Raw genomic sequence first — 20,549 nt, 5'->3', positions numbered from 1 at the left:
ATGCATCCTTTGACTTTAATGCAATCCTATTATGTAAAGAAGTACTTTCTTCCAGGCCAGGCACAGTGGTTCATGCCTGTAATCCCAGCACTTTGGGAGGCCGAAGCGAGAGGATCACTTGAGGTCAGGAATTCAAGCCCAGGCTAGCCAAGATGGTGAAACCCCATCTCTAGTAACAATACAAAAATTAGCCGGGTGTGGTAGCACATGCCTGCAGTCCCAGCTACTTGGGAGGCTGACACAAGAGAATCGCTTGAACCTGGGAGGTGGAGGTTGCAGTGAGCTGAGATCACGCCACTGCATTCCAGCCTGGACCACAGAGCAAGACTCTGTCTCAAAAAAAGTACTTTCTTCCCAAGACAGCAGCTAGAATCCAACATTAAACTCTATGCATGCCAGTAGTTGTGAGGCTGAAAATGGTATTCTCCCTGCCTTAATACTCTAACAGAAAATTCAACAGCTCCAGCAAATAGTTTCCACTGTTCTAATGAGACCTCTTGGACTATAAATCAGTTATGATATTCTTCACCTTCTAGAATATTAGAAAGTTGTCTCCTTTGAAACTGAAATACAAAGATCCATCTAACTCTTCTACTAAATTTCTAGATTTTACAACTACTGTCCCTGGGGCACACTAACCAGAAGTCCAAGTCATAAGGTGCTAAGGTAATAAAATGGTTAGGTAGGTTAGGATGGTTACCCAAAGTGAGATGGCAAGAAGGCAGCAAGGACTATGGTAAAATCTTTGGTATAAAGTATTGGGTTTTGGAAAGGTTAGGAGGTAATATTGAACAGAAGAGCTCTATATTACAGGGTTATACTGCTTGTAAGCTAGAGAATCTCAGGCCTAAGCAATCACACACTATGGCTTTAAAGGGCAGCTGGTTTCTAACTAGGCATCTTCAAGGTCTGTATCCGCTGGCAAGGGCATTCTGAATAGTCAGATGAGGTCCCAGATGGCAATCTACATGCCCAAGGGTTTAGGGACCTGGCCCCCATCTTTGCTGTTGCTGAAGGCTGGACATGTGGCTAGTCACAAGGGCGCTAGTGAATGAACCATATTCTAAAACATTCTGTGAATCCTAAAAATGACTTAAACCTAGAGACTAAACTTCTTTAATGGAGAATAGCGTTAGAGTCAATATTAGATTTGGCTTCAAGAATCTGTCAAAACATTTTTTGGAACCCAGGCTTGGGGAAAGAAAAAAAAAAAAGAATTTGTCAAAACAAACAAACCCGTATATGAACATGCTCCATTCACAGTTTAAAAAGAAATCAATTTGATTTTAAAACTAGCAATATTAGTAAATAGTATTTTTCCTGAGCTTTCCCACTGGCTCAGTGAAATAAAATTAAGCTGATTTAGTACCTACATATTTGTGCTTTATAGAATTCTAACACTAAATGAAAGTACCTATAGAATCCTAACACTAAATGAAAGTACCTCAAGTATTTCATTTTACGAAACACACTACACACACATACATTCACTGTACAAAAGAAAAAAACCAAGACCTCCATTCCCAAAGGTTACAAAATTGTTTAATGGCAGAGACAAACTGCTACCTAGCACAGAGCTCTTTTTTTTTTTAAATATGTCATAGTTACACTCTGCTCATCACAAACCACTTATGGAATGAAACATGTTTGCTTTCCAGTTTGAAAATTATACATAGTTACCACTACCAGTTCAGACAGCTGCCAAAGAATCATTTTTAAAGTGCTGAAAACTGTCTAAGTACTTTGATTTCAACAATCACGTTTTCTTTGTGGCTTAGGGTAAGGATAGGAGTATGAAGAGGTGGGCTAATTTTTAGAAATATCCCCATATGAGCTGGTATCCTTAATTATAGTGAAGGTGCGGGAGAACAAGGAAGGTGATGAATAGGTATAGAATATAATCCCTTTAAGTTTTCCCTGAATGTGTTTATAATGAGTAAACATATACACTAAGTATGCACACACCACACACACACACACACATATATATCTACCTACATATGCGTGCACACACACACACACACACACACACACACACACACACACACATACACATAAGATACACAAAATGAACTCGATCATATGTTTTGGAAATACGGACTAAATTAACTATTCTATTTTCGTATATTGTGAATGCACTCTGATGTATCAAACTCTTGCAAAATGTAAATTGGTCTTCAATTCTCTTTGGTAGCTTGTTACTAAAAAAAGAGAGAAAATCCTTTTAAAACTTTTCAGGGAAACCATGATTTCCTTGGCCTCAAGGATTTGTGATGAAACAGCAGAAAAAATTTTGAAGCCACACAAACTCTGGGTTCTTTTCTCAACACCCGCCATGTATCAATTCTGTAACCTTAGGCAAATTATTTAAACTTTCTAAGCCTTGATTTTCTCATCTACTAAAAACAGCAATAATCTAAGATCAAGATAAAACAAAACTCACCCAGAACAAAGTATAGTCTCCATGAATAAAGAACATGTCTGTTTTGTTTCCCCAGCACCTAGAACAATATGCGATGTATACAATGGCAGATACTAAATATTATTTATCCAGCAGAAAACAATAAAGTTGCAGGACCAACCCTGTCAACTAAGCTAATGCTACATAAAAATTACATGCAGGATTAGCTAAAGAACATAAATTCTACACATATACTAATTCTTAGGGTCTCTGGGTTTTCTTAATGTTATTTCCTTCAGAAAATGGGCATAAATTCCTATCTAATGACATCTCACATCCTCATCAAGAAGCAAGTCATGAAATTTAAGCCTTACAAGGTATATTCTTTTTGGGGTTTTACAACTATTAATGAAAACAAAATACAAGACTCCCTCTTTTGGGCCCTTTTCTTCAAAAAATAAAAGAAAGGGAAAAAAGAATACATACTCTTATTGCGCTTATATTCTTAGAATCTGTGTTTTTTCATTTATTCAAAATTAGTTTGTGATACACAAATATTTAGTCAGGGAGATGTTATTACTAGCCTCAAATTCCCAATCAACACAGTCCATCAAAGTAATAAAAACTTTCTTTCTAATTCCCTTTGTGGCATATGTACCTCAAACCCCCAAAAGAACACAAGGAGTGGAGCACTCAGCTAAAGATCTAGGAATCTGTTTCTTATTGAGCATATTACAGTAATTACAATAAAATACTTAAAGTAGTAGTGGTTAGCTGTAAAGGGAGATTACAGTCCTATTCACCCGGACTTGTTTTATAAAGAATTTTTACTTACTAGCACCCTAACTTACTGGCTATATGATCTTGGCCAAGTAAATTAACCTCTGATAGCCTTGGTTTCCTGTTCTATAATTTGAGGTCACCACCACCACCTTCTTCATAGGATTGTGAAAAATAAACAGTTAATACACATAAAGTGCTTAAACAGTGGCATATAAGAGACAAACAATAAACTGAGTCCATAAATGATCACAGAAAACAAACACTACAGTATACAGAGAGTACACAATTCAGGGCAGTAAGTGGTAATAGTACAAGTACGTTTAGACTCTGGTTCCATCATTCACTATGTGGCCATGAGCAAATTATTTAACCTCTATAGGCCTCAGTTTTTATACCTGAAAGGAGAGATGTCAGCAATACTTACCTTACAGTGTATTCTGAAGATTAAATAAGTTAATAGATCAAGTGCTGCATGCATTATCTGGTATACTATAAACGTGCAGTAAATGTCAGCCAAAATATAAAACAAACATAAGGTTCAAAGAAGTACCCTTTTACTTCTTGTTTCATTCATTAAAGAAAACTGCATAATTTCTCTCCCCACTGGAATATTATGGAAGCAGGAGTTCAGTCCCATGTTATTCAATCATCTAAGGAACATATCAAGCCGCACAATACAGATGCTGAGTATTTACTTGCTGACTGAATTCATGGATGCAGTCTGCCAGTAGGGAGTACAGGTAATAGATGAAAGTCTAACAAGGGGATATTAAAACCATTTACTTGCCCTATAATTAAAATCAGTAAAGGCAGTGACAACCTACCAATAACAACAACAGGTGAGAGAAATTCTGAAAATAAAAATACGCTTTAACTTTAAAAACCTATACTAACAAAATCAGAAATAATAAAGTTTGCTTCAACAAGCATGTTATAGTTTGTAGTATTTATGACATCTGTCAAAGATTTGTCTCAACCTGGTTCATATGTAGATTTAAATATTTGGAAAAACCTGCAGAATTCACAAACCACTTTTAAGTATTTCTTTCTCTTATATAAATCCCGTTAGTACTTGTCATCATATTCACCTAGTCTCTTCCTCTTCTCTCTTCTCCTTCAACTCCCTGGCATAGATATCCCCAACTAGACCAGAGCAAGGATTTTCCACCCCTTTCCCAGCCCCACACCAGGCACAGATACCCACTTACCAAAGCACAGATCACTATCTCGTTCCTATACGCCTGTGCAAAAGCAGCTCCGCTTCTGTGAACAAAAAGCTATGGTGACTTGACTCATTATTACAGAACTGTACTAAACCCCTTCTGACTGGCCACATTAAAAGGCATCTACATAATAATATCAGAGGGACAGAATCAACCTGGAAATTTTACATACCTTCAATTTCTTCTCAAAGTATCCCCTAACTGGTAAGATTCTTACCTTCAACTGTCTACCAAAACATATGAAGCAATCAGATTTAAATTCCCTTTATTTCCGTTTACTCATCACTTTTCCTTTTACGATCGTAAACTCTCTCACTCCTTTAATATATATCTTGAGTCTATTCCAAGGATCTGTCCATCCCATTCTCCTATGAAATCAAAGTTCTCCACCTGTGTCCTTTCTTCTGGTTCAGTATCAGAATGACAGATACTAAGCAATGCTCATCAAGGTGTGAGAAAAAATAGAATTATAAATTAATACACATACTTACATATATAACACAGACTCTACTCACATGAGGCTCACAATTCAACTTTTATATGAACACTCCTTGAGCTAATTCTCAATTTTGTAATGTTTACAAAATACTAATTGAGCCAGGCATGGTGGCTTAAACCTGTAATCCCAGCACTTTGGGAGGCCAAGGTGGGTGGATCACCTGAGGTCAGGAGTTCAAGAACAGCCTGGCCAACCTGGTGAAACCCCATCTCTACTAAAAATAGAAAAATTAGCTGGGTGTGATGGCAGGCGCCTGTAATCTCAGCTACTCAGGAGGCTGAGGCAGGAGAATCACTTGAACCCGGAAGGCAGAGGCTGCAGTGAGCCAAGATCGTGCCACTGCACTCTAGCCTAGGCGACAGAGTGGGACTCCGTCTCAAAAACAAAACAAAACAAAAAACTACTTGAATTTCAAAAATTGCATGTGAAATCCAACATAACCTGAAGTGGCCCTTTTCTTCCTTCTGATATGGTAAACTTTTTAGTCATCCTTTGAGTCTCAGCTCCAGTTATCACCCTTTCCATGAAAACATTCCCAGAACCCTACAAGCAGAACTAGTTCTTCCTTCTTCTGGGATTCTATTAACACTTCATTCACAGCTTGTATAAACCAAACACCACAAAGTAATTTAATTAGCTATATGTATGACATATATAGATATTAGATGATATCTATCATGTACTATTGAGTCTAAGATGCAAATGATCATAAGAAAGAAAAAAGTTCTGCTAATTAAACTATGACATGCCTTTGATTACAAGGTGTGTTTTAATTTTATAGATTTAAAATGGGCCCAGGCGTGGTGGCTTACGCCTGTAATCCCAGCATTTAGGAAGGCTGAGGCGGGTGGATCACCTGAGGTCAGGAGTTCAAGACCAGCCTGGCCAACATGGCGAAACTCCCCTCTCTGCTAAAAATACAAAAATTGGCTGGGCGTGGTGGCGGGTGCCTGTAATCTCAGCTACTTGGGAGGCTGAGGGAGGAGAATCACTTGAACCTGGGAGGCAGAGGCTGCAGCGAGCCGAGATTGTGGCACTGCACTCCAGCCTGGGTGACAGAACAAGACTCCGTTTCAAAAAAAAAAAAAAAAAATACACACACACACACACACACACACACACACAAACACACACACACATAAAATGAAATAAAAATAAAATGTAAAAAGCATGTCCTAGAAGCAGAGAAGTACAGTGTGTCTCCCACAACAGATAATATATCCTATGAGGGCAGAAAACATGTCTCACTTCATCTTTAGTTTCTCAATGCCTATTACCATGCTTGATACAGAGCAGGGGAAAAGAACAAACCAACCTGATGTTTTTACCTAATCCCTTACCATGTCTTTCACGTCACCAGTGTAGGTCCTAGAAAAGTTCAACAAGCTGTTTTTTATATTTAGTAACCATTTACTTCACTACCACAGCCTTTCTAGGGACCACTGTGAATTCATAACTAAATTACTGCAACAACATCCTTTTATCTGAGCTCCTGCTTTCTAACTTTTCTACACTTTTATCTACAAAGAAACACTCTCATAAGTATCATTTGCATTGCAAATATTTTTACTCAATATCTCCAATCCACTAGATTCAAGTTTTTCAAATTTATTTATTATTATTATTTTGGCACAATCTCTTCTTGAAACAAAATGTTAGGAAATGGTTCAAAAAACACACTTGTGTGGCTGATGCAGGAGTGGAAGGCTGTTTGGTTGGCAAACCCTGAGCTACTCTGTGAGACCACTAAGCCTCTAGGAAGCACACAGAAGAGAACCCATCATTCCCTGTGTTAGTTAAAAGCTTCCACATGATAGCTTTGTGCTTTTCCAATCTTTGGTCCCCATCAAGCTCATTCCAAGTTTAGCAGCTTGACTCAAGCCATCCTCACTCTTCACCTGTCACCCCCAAAGTCTCAAATGTCCACTTTCCAAACCAATCTTTAAGGCCTATTTCAAGTCCTATCTCCACCAGAAAAAGCCTTTCTTGTTTACTCCCCACTAACCTCACTGACTTCTGAGCTCTCACACTTGTTTTCCATGCCTCAAAACCCAGTACTTACGTATAAACTCTCATATGTAGTTGCAGCTGCCATATAATGGTTTCATGTATGTAAATCTTTCTCCTGAACACAAGCATCATTTTAAGACAGGTTTAGTTAGTATCTTCAGAACCTAACAAGGGTTAATCAGACAGCAGACATTTAGTTCTTACTATACTGAAATACACCACCTGTTTGCTGCTGTTGTTGTTGTTGTTGTTGTTGTTGTTGTTGTTGTTTTGAGACAGGGTCCCGTTCTGTTGCCCAGACTGAAGTGCAGTGGCACGATCTCAGCTCACTGCAACCTTCGACTTTCAGGCTCATGCAATTCTCCCACCTCGGCCTCCCAGAGTAGATGGGACTACAGGCATGCACCACTATGCCCAGCTAATTTTTGTATTTTTAGTAGAGACAGGTTTCACCATGTTTCCCAAGCTGGTCTCAAACTCCTGAGCTCAAGTGATCTGCCTGCCTCGGCCTCCCAAAGTGCTGGGATTACAGGTGTGAACCACCACGCCTGGCCACACCACTTCTTTTCCACCTGTTAATACACCTCTCTCCATACACCTCACCTCACCCTTGCTTGCACTTTACCAAAGCTTTCTGAAATTCCTCTTATACAAATTTCTCGTTTACCTCTGACATATAACTCAAGCTAATATCCATACCTAAAATATCTCATTCCCCCACTTTACTACTTCACATTCTTCTAGTGGGTGTCACTACGTAGAGATGTCACCAAGTTACCACCTCCTGCATACAGTTTTCTTTACATTATTCAAAGCCTTTTCATACATATTAACTTACCTAATCTTTGAGACTCTATGAGGTAAAGAAGGTAGGAACTAATATCACTATTTTGCAAATGAAAAAAAGGAATGGAACTACAATTATGATGTTTGCCCAGAGTGGTACAACTAATTGGTGGGGGCGGGGAGTACCCAAGCAAAAATGTGAGTTTTAATTCTTAGTGTTGTGCTCTACGAAGCCTCTAAGTACATGTGGTCTGCACGAATAATAAACCTACTATAAGAACCATACCTCTGATCAAGCACAGGTATTTCTTACCTCCTTAACTTTATTATCATCCCTGAGGAAAAGAGAAGCTTCATAAATCTGAATTATCACTTTTTCTATTCGAAAGATTCTTGCGTCTTAAACATTTTACATACAGAGAGACATATTTTTAAGAGACAAGGTCTCACTCTCTCACCCAGACTGGAGTGCAGTGACAATCATAGCTTACTATAACCTTAAACAGAACTCTTGAGTTCAAGCAATCCTCCTGCCTCAGCCACCTGAGTGGCTGGGACTACAAACATGGGCCACCACATCCAGCTGATTTTTTACTTTTTCCTTTTTTCGTAGAGGTACAGTCTCACTATGTTGCCCAGGCTGGTCTCAAGCTCCTGGGCTCACGTGATCCTCCTCCCTCAGCCTTCCAAAGTACTGAGATTCCAGGATGAGCCATTGCACTTGGCCTCAAACATTTTCAAAAAACACCTTTGTACCAGATATTCTGAGCCATGAAGAAAGGGACTACTGCAGCAGGACTGTTCATGGAAAAAAAAAAAAAGGAAAGAAAAGAAAGGAGGGTGTGAGGGGAGTAGGGAATGAGAAATTACTTAATGGGTACAGTGTACATTCCTGCAGTGATGCACACACTAAAAGCCCTGCCTTCGCCACTATACAACATATCGATGTAACAAAATTGTACTTGCACCCAACAAATTTATACAAATAAAAGATCAGCATAAATAACTTAAAAAAAAAGGCATACAGATTTGCTTGCTCTGTAGGGAAAACTGACAAATTTACAGCTGTGAGTGCTTCCCACAATTTGGGCTCTTTTAGGATCCTAGATTTTCCAATTGTTCTCTAATTTCCACTCAAGAAAAAGTAATCACATTGTTCACACTAAAGTGACAGTATCAGAAACACAACTATGGTTAAAGAGCTAGAGCAGTCCCCCCTTATCAGAGGGGGGAATATGTTCCAAGACCCCCACTGGATCCCTGAAACCATGGCCTGAACCCTATACATATTGTTTTTTCATACATACATACATACATACCTGTGATAAAGTTTAATTTATAAATTACACAAAGTATGAGATAACAACTTCTCTTTGGCATATATTTGGCTTATCTTGGATATATCCAAATTGCCAGCATTACTACTTTTGCACTTTCAGGCCATAAATATGTAAAGTAAAAATACTTGAACACACTGTGATACCACAGCAGTTGAGAAGGTTACTAAGTGACTTGTTAGCATATACAGAGGGTATAACTGGACAAAGAGAAGATTCCCATTCACCCTGGACAGACTGAGATTTCACCACACTACTCAGAAAGGCATGTAATTTAAAACTTGTAAATTGTTTTTTTCTAGAATATTCCATTTAACATTTTTGGACCATAGTTGACCACAGGTAACAGAACCCACAGATAAGAGGAGACTACTATACCGAGATAACATATCGTAACTACAAATTCAGTGTCAGAACTAAAGCATATGTTTAAAATACTAACGTTTTGGTATTCACCAAATAAAAGAGGAAACGACATAGAAAAATAGCACCTAAGTACACAGTAAATTTAAGAATGAACAGAAATATATTAATTTATGAATTACAGTGCTACATTTATTGCTTAATAGAATTCACCCTCATACAGCCTCTATGAAAAAAAATGGTAAATATCACCCACAATCTCCCTCACAAAAATCCCTAAAGACTTAATCATGTAAGTTTAAGACTTACAGAGAACTCTGGCCATGTGCTGGATGGAAGTACCCAGAACGAAATAAAATATATATTCTAATTTCATAGACCTTAAATTTTAGAATTAGAAGAAGACTCAGAGTTTATAGTTTAAGCAAATTTTCTATATGGTACAAGAAATTCTTCTGCAGTCTACAAAATCTTTGACCGATGAACATCCAATCTTTAATGAATGATCACTACTTAATGAAACAAACCATTCCACTGTTGTGTAACTCTAGTCTGTCTTTGTGTGTGCATATACATATGTTTTTCCAGGGCCAAACAAAATTATAGAACTACGTTAGAAAAAAAAAAAAAGCCCCTCATATATCTAAAGACAGCTGTCACAATTTCTTGTTTTCTTTTAAAGATAAAACTCCGTTCTTTGATTATTGCTAGTACGAAATGTTTTCCACATTCTTCATTCTGGGAATCCTTCTTGATACATTTGCGAGTCTGTCAATGTCCCATTTAAAATGTGCCACCCGGTACTGCGCACAATATTGCAGAAGTATCTCACAAGCACAAGGTACAGAAGCTTTATTCTACTCTCAGTTCATTTTAAGCCAATACATCCCAAATCATTTTCACAGGTCCTCCTGCCAAGCCAGGTTTTTTACCTTGTAGGTATGTAATTCCCTCCATCTTAAGGAGAGGATCTTACCTGTTAAATGTATCTTACTAATTCTGGCCCACCATTTCAGCCTATTAAGATCACTCTGAATCTCAGTTCTATCATATAAGCACCACCTCCCAGCTTTGTCTCATATTTGAATTCAGTAAATTCAGCCATCCTTCAACCTGGTATTTGAAAAAAAAATGTCAAACTACATCAAAATTAGAACCCCATGCCATAGTGTGAGACCTCGTAAGGAGGTGAATAATAATTACCACTTTTCATTCAATTGTGCAACCAGCTATGAGCCTTCAAAGAGGCCACAACTATCAATACTAAAATCAAGATAAATTATGTTAACATTATTTCCTTTGGATACTCATCTGGAAATCCTAAAGAAAGAAGATATGAACCTAGTTTCTTAGTGAACCCATAGTGGCTCCCAGTGATTCCTCGGTTCTTTTTTAAAATGCTCAAGAGCCAACTACTCAATAATTCATTCAAGGACTTTGCTAAGGACGGTTATCAAGCTCATTTGTCTGAAGTTAAGAATGTTTTAAAAAATTGAGGTGTTATTCATGCCAAATCTTCTGACACTTTTTACCATGCAGCATAAATTTTAAGTTATTGATACTAGCCTGAAACTGAATCTGAAAGTTCCTTCTGACCCTAGGATAACATCCATTTTTATCATCTTGACTTCCAAAAAGCAAACCCAAAAATGCAGTAGAAAGACAACTGGAGGAGAAGTCAAGATTCTAGCCCTCACTTTGCCATCAAATATAAGAGGGTCATTTAACCTTTCTGGGCTTCAATTTCTTCATTTCTAAAATAGGGCTAAGGAAAGAAGGTGGGAGAAAGAGGCTCATTTATTTTTAAGTTACCTTAGTAACTACAATTTCATTAAGCCCTCATCTCACCACACACTTAAATAAGCAATTTGTGGTTCAACAGGTTTCCTTTGCCACAATTTGCTCCTTCACTAGGTAGCAAAATGACAAGCATTATGAACATCCAATCTTAACAGCCAATCTTAACTCAAATCCGCATCAGAAAAGTACAGAAGAGCACATATATGTGTACACTCTGATATTAGGCCAGGTTCCCCCGTTACTGTCAATCCTTACTGTGTAAGGATTGACTTAATGTAGCAGTGCAGAATCTTCGACCCATATTTCTGCTTTCACTTCAAACAGTAAAAACACAAAATGCCTTTATAAATAGACTTTAGCAGCAGTATCAAAAGGTTACAACTGCTGAGCCATAATCTCCAAGATTCTTTCCACCTACAATTCTATCATTTTGTAAGTCTGTTATTTCTACAAGATCTATGCGTAGCACCATTCCCTATCTTCCTTCTTGATTAAGTAAATTTAGAGCTGTGAGTGCTTTCATGCCTGCCCCAATATCCTCAACCTGCTTTCATGCCTGCCCCAATATTCCCTAAGTATTACTCATTATATATTCCGATTCAGAATTTGAAAAGCAGATGATTAAAACTCTATTTTCAGCCAGACACAGTGCCTCATGCCTGTAATCCCAGCACTTTGGGAGGCTGAGGTGGGGAGATCACCTGAGGTCAAGAGTTCGAGACCAGCCTGGCCAACATGGCAAAACTCCACCTCTACTAAAAATACAAAAATTAGCCAGGCGTGGTGACATGTGCCTGTAGTCCCTGCTACTTGGGGAGCTGAGGCCGGAGAATCACTTGAACCCAGGAGGTGGAGGTTGGAACAGATATCGTGCCACTGCACTCCAGCCTGGGCGACAGAACGAGACTCCATCTCAAATGCAAACAAACAAAAAACTCTATTTTCCTTTGCTAATCTATCCTGAAGTCCTTCTTAAAAAAAAAAAAAATGCCCTTTTACAAAATTAATGTGGCTCTACTTTGAGTACTTTTCATCTTCCATGAAAAAATCATTCAATAGGTAAAGCCAGCTTGGTAGTTCAGAACCTAAGTCATTCGTATTGAATACAAGATTTAAGTTTCTAATAATGAATTCCAATCTATAACAAACAGTATTAGAAGATTTTAAAGAAATAAGATTACTGGAGTAAATCTGACTCCTCTGAAAAAAGACTAGCCAAACACAGGAGTACATGAGTATGTATATATACAGATGCCCATTAGGGAAATCCAAATTAATAAAACATATATGGCAAAGGAAAGCCATATTTGCATTAAACCTCAAGCCAATTTTCCACCTTTAGTAGCTCTGGAAAAAAAGATCAGTGTAAGAAGTTAATTTTACTGGATTGAATTCAGTTTTAAAATTAAATATAAATTTTAATTATTTTCTTTGGTACCTATTTTTACCAATAATGAAGAATTGGTCCTCCCATTTCTGGTTTCATACTATATCCCCAGGTTTCATATTTTAATTCCTTGGAGAAGTAAAGAAATTAGGTAAGAGAGTCAAGTTCTTGAAGGGTCAGCAGTATCTTATTATTAAGTCTGAACTTCCTCTGTGGGAGAACCAGCATAATATTGTTAATTTCCACTAAAATTGACAAAGAAATATTCATTCATCAATCAAAAGGCCTACAGTATGATCTCTGTTACTACATATGATGATTACTGCCAAAAATAAGTCACATTGTGGACCACTCCAAGTTAATTACAGATTTAGCTATCAATTGTTCCTACATAGCTCTAAAGTCTTTAAGGAAATGTAACACCTGAAATTCACTTTATTTAGGGCTCTTTGACTAGTAGAAGACATTGTGAAAACAGGTAGTTAACTCTCCTCACTTAGTTAAAATAAAGGAGCTTAAGCCAGAGGTACAATTAGTTGTCTTTGAGCTTAAAGTAAGGTTTCTGCTTTTCCTTTGAAGTCAAACTCAGCACGTTCACACTTACAAGTGGGAGCTAAAAAAAAAAAAAAAATGATTACACATGGACATACAGGTGGAATAACAGACACTGCGGACTACAAAAGGTGGAGGGCAGGGTGAGGGTGGAAAAAAATACCTGTTGGGTACAAGGTTCACTATTTCGGTGATGGGTACACTAAAATCCCAGACTTCTCCACTATGCAATATATCCATGTAACACAACCGCACTTGTACCCCCTAAATCTATTTTTTTTAAAAGTAAAAGTAAAAAAATTTTAAGTTAAATTTAGAATCCCAATAACAAAACAAAAAGTATGCAGAGCATACACATATTTAGTTCCTACTACAATTCTAACTAATGCTTAGCATGAAGGTCAGGATTTACAGCTGAGACCAAAGCACAGAAACACATTATACTGAACACGTTGTTAATGGGAAGAGGATCCCCCTAGGTTGTTGCTAACATTCTCATTTCATAAAACGAAGTATGAAGCTCCCCAGCTTCAAGTACTGGTTTCATTAGATTTACCTTGTATGATTTTACTTTTTTCTGTTCATGTCATCTAGACTTCCCTTAATCTCCTGAAGAGTAAAATGAGAATAGTGGATGGTGGAGAGTTTTAGCTCATTGTCCTTGAGCTAGCAATTACATTCCGTCAAAGCTACTAATTTTTCAAGGCTTCTCATAAAAATTTCGAGCAAAATTTTCCCCACAAATTAAACAATACCATTCTCCTGGGGAACAACATGAACCGACCAAGAAAGTACTTACAGATGAATGGGGACACAAAGTAAAAGATCTGAACTTTCAGGGCTCATTTATAAAAGGGCGATATGGGTACTTATTGCTCCTTCTCCCCCTTGTCAAGACAGAAAAGTTCCTGGTGTCTCACTCTTTGTGTCTTTTTTTTCTTTCTTTTTTTTTTGAGATGGAGTTTCGTTCTTGTTGCCCAGGCTGAAGTGCAATGGCGCGATCTCGGCTCACTGCAACAACCTCCACCTCCTGGGTTCAAGTGATTCTCCTGCCTCAGCCTCCTGAGTAGCTGGGACTACGGGCATGTGCCACCACGCCCAGCTAATTCTGTATTTTTAGTAGAGACAGGGTTTCTCCATGTTGGTCAGGCTGGTGTCGAACTCCCAACCTCAGGTGATCCACCTGCCTTGACCTCCCAAAGTACTGGGATTACAGGCGTGTGCCACTGCACCCGGCCCACTCTTAGTGTCTTACAAATGCAAAGCCAAAAGAAATTAATGAAAACAAAGTTGTTTCATTAGCTTCATTAAAACCATTCCAAGGCATTACTCCTAATTACAAAGTGCTATTTTCTCCATCATCTTTTATACCTTAGTTCAAAGAGCATTTGTCAAGCACCTACTAAGCTAGGCAATGGGGTAAAATCTGCAAACTAGGCCTAGATTAACTGTATTGACTTGCAGACATCAAGCAAGGTACACTTCTGGTCTTTGTCAGACTGCTGTCTTTTTAAAAGGATTGAGCATATTTATTAGAACATAAACAACATCGACAAAATTTTAAATCTTTGGTTTCAGGGGGAAAAGAATCCAACTATGTAGAGTTCAAATTTCCTCCTCTACTTAAAACAGAACCACCCAAATCATGTAAATCCTTTAAGTGAAAAAATTATCCCTGAAAATGAAGGAATAACCACACCTATTGGCAGTGTTCAGCATACAGTAGCCATCTCAATACACACTTGTGAAATAAAAACTAAAAAGTTGTAGTTGCCACCAAAATCTGTTCTCTGAGGCACAAACGAACTAGCTCAACACCCCCACTTGCTTCCATATTCTGTCTTCTGGTTCACTGCTGATGACCAGACACTTGATTCTCAAACTTCAGTGAGTTTGTTTGTTTGAGAGAGGGTCTCGCTCTGTCACTCAGGTGGGAGTGCAGTGAGGCAATCACAGCTCACCGCAGCCTGGATCCCCCGGGTACAAGCGATCCTCCTACTTCAGCCTCCCAAGACGCTGAGACCACAGGTGTGCCACCACACCCAGCTAATTTTTTTAAATTTTTTGTAGAGACGGGGTCTCCCTATGTTGCCCAGGCTGGTCTTGAACTAGTGGGCTCAAGCAATCCTCCCACCCTGGCCTCCCAAAGTGTTGGGATTACAGGGATGAGCCACCACACCCAGCCACTTCAGTGAGTTTTACAATCACCTGGAAAGTTTGTTTGAAAGGCAAATCCCTTGACCCCCACAATTCAAAACTTACAGTACCAAAAACTGGATCCTGTGTTTATTTTAATGCACCATTCAAGTTAATCTAAGTTTGGTTGGCCAAAACATTTCTTTACCCTCACAATGGCTAAGGGAAAAACCTCTGGATTGCAAAAGTTATCAACTAGAGAGCAGAAAAATTGATTACTTCTAACCTAAATTATAAGTTAATTCTCTTAATTAATCACAACTCACTAATGCTTAATAAGCAAGATGAAATGGAAGTGAAGTAACTTCTGCTTTGACAATGCAAACTGTCATTCAACCCACCAAAAACACTTTTCTGAAATACTACAATTATTGTCAAAGTTTTTAGCAAAGGAGTAGAAATAAAGCAAGTTAAGGATTGTAATCCAGAGAAACATTTATGTAATTACGCTGTAATAGTTTTAGGAGAAAAAGTACCGCAATGGAAACACTAACTAGATGACTGTCCTTGCCACTAGCCACATGTGGCTACTTAAATTAAAATTAAATAAAATTTAAAATTCAGTTCCTCAGTTGCCCCACACACATTTAACTGCTTAACAGCCACATGTAGCTAGGTAGATAGAAAACATAAACATTTCCAACATCACAGACAGTTCTGCTGGATAGCGCTGGCCTAGAAGCACTGGTATCTAGATAAAAAATATAATCTCGGTTCTCCTGAATCAGAAGGCTTTATCTGGCAATTTACAATTTTACATATATATGCCTACTTCAGGTATTAACCATAAAAGAAGAACCCTAGCGTAATTTTTCTGCAACTTGTTTCAAGAAAGATCATTCAAAAGTGATAAACTTATTTATCCCACATTATCAAAATAGAAATATTTAACTAACAAGGTCTGGAAGTATCAAAGGCACTAAAACACAACGAGGTTTTCATCAAATCAGAATCAATGAAAAGGGTTTAATTACTAGAAAACAAAAGTTATTAGGTACAATAAGACTGGTCCAAAAAAGATTAAAACTACTTCCCAAGTACTTCAGAAGGAGCTATTTATATGCATAACAAATAACAACTGCTTTTACAATAGGTTTAAAAATAACTTTACCACAATTAATTCAAATTAGTGACATTTTACTGTCAACATTTTTCATTGCTTTCCACCAACCTTACATTAAACATCTACAAATCACACAATGACCATGATTTAATTAAATATAATTTTATAAATGAAGGATTATTCATTCAAATCCTGATAGTAGCATAAAAGTAGGCATAAAAGTTAACCAAACAATTTACAACTTAAAATTATCTCTCAACTGCATCAGTATCTAGTTTAAAACCAGTGTAATAAAACACAAAAGCATGGGCGACAAGATGCTGAAGCTTGAGAAATAACTTCCACTAAAAAAAAGTTAGCCTTATTACACCACAGAATTAAAAGTTCAACAGACTCACAATTATATATACCAATTCAGTTTAAAACTACTTTCCCTCAAAGAAGAGATAAATATCATTTCGACTAGGGTTCTTTCTGAAGAGCTGGAATGTACTCAAATAAGACCACTAAATTACAGAAGGCAATTATGATTCTAATCAGAAAGCTCTGTCCCATAAAACAATACTTTTTAAAAAACTAACAAATTTAACACATTATTATAAAATCTACAAAAGTGAACATGTCACATTGATTACTACAGAGCTATGTTTGTTAGTATAATATTGCTATTTCTGGTTCCTTATGATTGTGTGTTTACTTCAGAGGTCTACGTCAAACCTTAGAATTAGGAGAGAAAAGCAATAATTGTTATGAAAAACTATTTAAAAGGTACTTAAAAAGATGTCAGAACTTACCTGCAACACTAGTGATTGTAACGGGAACTCCCTGCACTTGAACACCTGCAGCACCCAGGTTGGCAACGCTCACTGTCTGAAGGTTAGGCACTGATGCAAGCTGGGCAGTATTCAAAGTTATTGGGGCACCAGCAACAGCCACAGGAGCAATCTGAGCAAGAGTTGTGCCACCACTTGAAGACACTGGGGTGATGGTTAATTGTTGGGATAACCCAGCATTCTGAACTTGCAAATTTGAAAGACTCTGAATATTCTGAACCTGTACAGTTTGCCAACTGATTTGCCCTGAAGGTGTTAAAGTTGGAGCCCTGATAAGCACCTGAGTCGGATTTACTGCTTGAAGTTGAACATTCTGTAAAGGCTGCTGCTGGATGGTCTGAATCGTCTGCCCTGACTGGAGTTGAAACGACTGTGGTGGAATAGCCTGAATGATCTGTTGCTGAGGCTGTTGGATCTGGATCTGCTGTAAGATAGGTTGGCCTACAATTTGCACCTGCTGAAGAGAATTTGATTGATCCTGTGCATTCTGCATTCCATTAGGCTGAAGCTGACTGGAGCTCTGGGCTTCAGACTCAGTAGCAGCAGGTGTTTGAGATTCTTCAATGGTGCGTTCAGAACTACTGGCTGATGTGCTTGCATACTGGCCAGTATCTGCTGAGCTCACTAATGTGTCACTGCTTGTCAAAGACGTTGAAGCAGTGGTTGTGCAGGTAGTGGAGGAGGAGGGAGATTCTGGCATAGTACTGGCAGAAGTAGTGGTGTTGGTGGGTGTGGAAACTAATTGATTCCCATTGGAAGTCCCACTATCAGCAGTAGCAGCAGGCTGGCCAACCTGCCCAGTCCCTCCTCCGGCAGCCACGTTGTTTATCACTGGCAAAGCTAGAGTCACTCCTCCAATGTTAATTGGTAGGGTTGTTACAACTTGAGCCTGAGTACCAGGAAGAGTCTGTAACTGCAGTGGTATTGAAACACCAGGTCTAATTTGGACCGGAACTGTCTGATTTGCCAGGTTTTGAGCAAGAATATTCCCAGAAGCTGTCCTGTTAGCAGCTGTGAGTATAGCTTGATTATTACCTGCAGAAATGAGCTGAATTTGACCCTGCAAATCCTGTAGAGATGAACTACTAGTTGGATTGATTTGAATTTGTTGACCTTCCACTGTCTGAAGTTGTGGAATTACTTGGTACTGTACACTACCACTTGGATTTTGTACTTGTATGACTTGAAATTGACCAGGGGTGGAAGAATTACCTGATTTAGTTTTTGTAGGAGATGCACTCCCGTTATTACTGCTGGAAGAACTAGACGAACTAGAGGCTGGTTGAGAAACGTTATTCTCTTTTGAAGCAGGAGGAGTGGAGGCAACAAGTTGCCAAGCGTTTCCAGCAAGTTGCGTTGTTACCAGTTCTAGCTGTTGTGGTTGATTTTGAAGTTGCACCAATCCTTGACTTGGATCTATAATAATTTGTTGTTGTCCAGTTGCTTGATTTTCACCAGGAGTCCCTATTTTGCTGCAAGTAGCTGCCAGTAAAGCCAGAGGAGAGGGCTGAGAGTCCTACCCAAAATGGGACGGTAAAGGAGAGGGGGGGGGGAAAAAAAGTGGGCGGATTTAGTGGAGGCCAGTAGTTGCCAGGGGGTTACTTATTTTGACAGCTCTACATAACAATTTAGGAAGCAGCAGAAATCAAAAAGAAATACGAACAAAAGTAGATAAGAACTATATGAATAAGGAAGCAAGTCCTATAATATCAAGTTTAAATAAAAGGAAATTTCTTTACAACTTTGTAAAGTGTTATGTTCCTAAACTCAAAATGCCCTTGGGAACACACACACCGTTTTCTTATAGTCTGAATTCCTGATGTAATTTTAAACAGCGTTATACCCTCAAAGAGGTGAAAACTTGATGAATTTACAATTTAAGTTCCACACTCTCAGAAAGATGCTTTGAGTGGATAAACATTTTATTCTGTTACTTCTGGACATTCAAAGGGCATAACTCCCTCTCTCTCCTAATGTGTCGTGATGAATTTTTTTAATTTGTTTGCTTTTACCTGGGAGCCTGAGGTTTTGGGTTTTTTATTGTTATTCTCTGGCTCAGAGGTTTTCCCTCCTTCTGTAGCCATCGCCGCTGCCGCTGCCGCCTCCTCCTCCTCCTCCTTCTTCTGATCTGCAACAAACCCCCCCACCACACACACACGACAACAGGTTATTAGGATTATTATTATTCGTCTTCTTCCTCTCCTCTTCTCCCCCCTCCCCCCGAACATTAATCTCCATAAACCCGCGATCCACGCACACCGGCAGGGGGTGGGGGAGAAGGAGGGAAGGGAGGAGGGGGATATCACAAAACGTGGTTTGAAACCCGACCCATCGGCTCCAGAGCAACACCCAGAAGGAGGTTGTTCTCTCTCAGACATTAAGACAAAACACAACCCTCCTTCCCTCCCCGATTCCCTCCCGCCCTCTCCTCCTCCCCTTAAAGCATCTCAGCGGCCCCGGGGGAGGGGGGAGAACCGAGCAGGGTCTGGGGAGGGAGGGAGAGAGGGAGGCGGCGAAGGAGACTGAGGGGGGTGGAGAATACGTACCGCTCATCCCGCATTAACAGGACAAACCCTCAGACGGAGACACTGGGATAGAGGTGGGTGGGGGTGGGGGCGAGGCGGGAGGAGAGGCCGGTCCCGCCCGCCCGCGGTGGCTCGGAGGAGGCTGTAGCTGGCACAGGCTCTGCCTCTTTTTCCGCGAATGGCCGCCGCTGGGCTGTGGCGTAGCAGCTCCTCTCTCCGCCCGAGCCCGGCTGACTCGCCCTTGATTGACAGCGGCGGCGCGCGGCGCGGGCGGCGGCGCGGGTCGGGGGCGGGGCCAGGGCGGTGCGAGCCTGGCCGACTCCCCACCCCCCTCGGCCTCTCTCCGCCGGAGCCTCCGACTCTCCACCCCTTCCCCCAGCGGATTGGCCGCCGACCTGCCGGGGGCCGGGGCGCTGGGGCCGCCTCCTCTCCACCCCCTTTCTCGGGGTTATTCCTTTAGCAGCTCTTCTCCTCCTCCCTGGCTCCTCTGGCGCTCTTTCTCTCGGCGTTCTAGCTCAGGAGCGCTGCCGGTAGGCCCTCCATACAGCCAAACTTGTTGTCTCAGGATATCCCGCCCCCTACTCATTTCCCAGCGCCCTCCACTCAAAAACCCCCTCCAGCAATCCCTCCAATTGCCACTAAAGAAAAAAGTAGGGCCCTTGATCCAGGCAAGCGAGAGCGGCGGACGTGGGCGCGCGCGGACCACCAACAGGTCGGCGCGCTGGGTGAACTGCCCGCTGCCCCCGCGCAGGGAGCATGGCTTTCCTGAGGCGCATCCGGACCCGGGCGCC

General features: G+C 39.9%; 1 protein-coding gene across 9 annotated transcripts in view, besides 1 other annotated feature; it reads right to left on the bottom strand.

Annotated features, from left to right (window-relative positions):
• The window catches only part of SP4 (Sp4 transcription factor), an 86,740-nt gene extending 66,785 nt beyond the window's left edge, over positions 1 to 19,955 (bottom strand). For 4 of the 9 annotated variants that reach the window (NM_003112.5, XM_005249829.5, XM_011515486.3 and 1 more), the window contains exons 1-3: positions 19,780 to 19,955; positions 19,246 to 19,361; positions 17,195 to 18,749 (exon numbers count right to left, since the gene is read on the bottom strand). In NM_003112.5, the coding sequence (NP_003103.2) occupies positions 17,195 to 18,749; positions 19,246 to 19,361; positions 19,780 to 19,786 (1,678 nt within the window). In that variant the 5' untranslated portion in view covers positions 19,787 to 19,955. Of the gene's footprint in view, positions 1 to 4,392; positions 4,448 to 8,005; positions 17,118 to 17,194; positions 18,750 to 19,134; positions 19,362 to 19,779 lie in introns of those variants that run through there. The other 5 variants (XM_011515487.3, XM_047420760.1, NM_001326543.2 and 2 more) reach the window with 5 other exon arrangements.
• Positions 19,662 to 20,251: a silencer, noted in NCBI's record as "silent region_17996". NCBI's record gives its function as "represses an Ori minimal core promoter by ATAC-STARR-seq in GM12878 lymphoblastoid cells {active_cell/tissue: GM12878}" and the evidence as "EXISTENCE:reporter gene assay evidence [ECO:0000049][PMID:35858748]".

This window comes from Homo sapiens, chromosome 7 (genome assembly GCF_000001405.40).
Source record: "Homo sapiens chromosome 7, GRCh38.p14 Primary Assembly".
NCBI classification, from domain to species: domain Eukaryota; kingdom Metazoa; phylum Chordata; class Mammalia; order Primates; family Hominidae; genus Homo; species Homo sapiens.
This window is presented reverse-complemented; position numbering and strand designations above follow the sequence as displayed.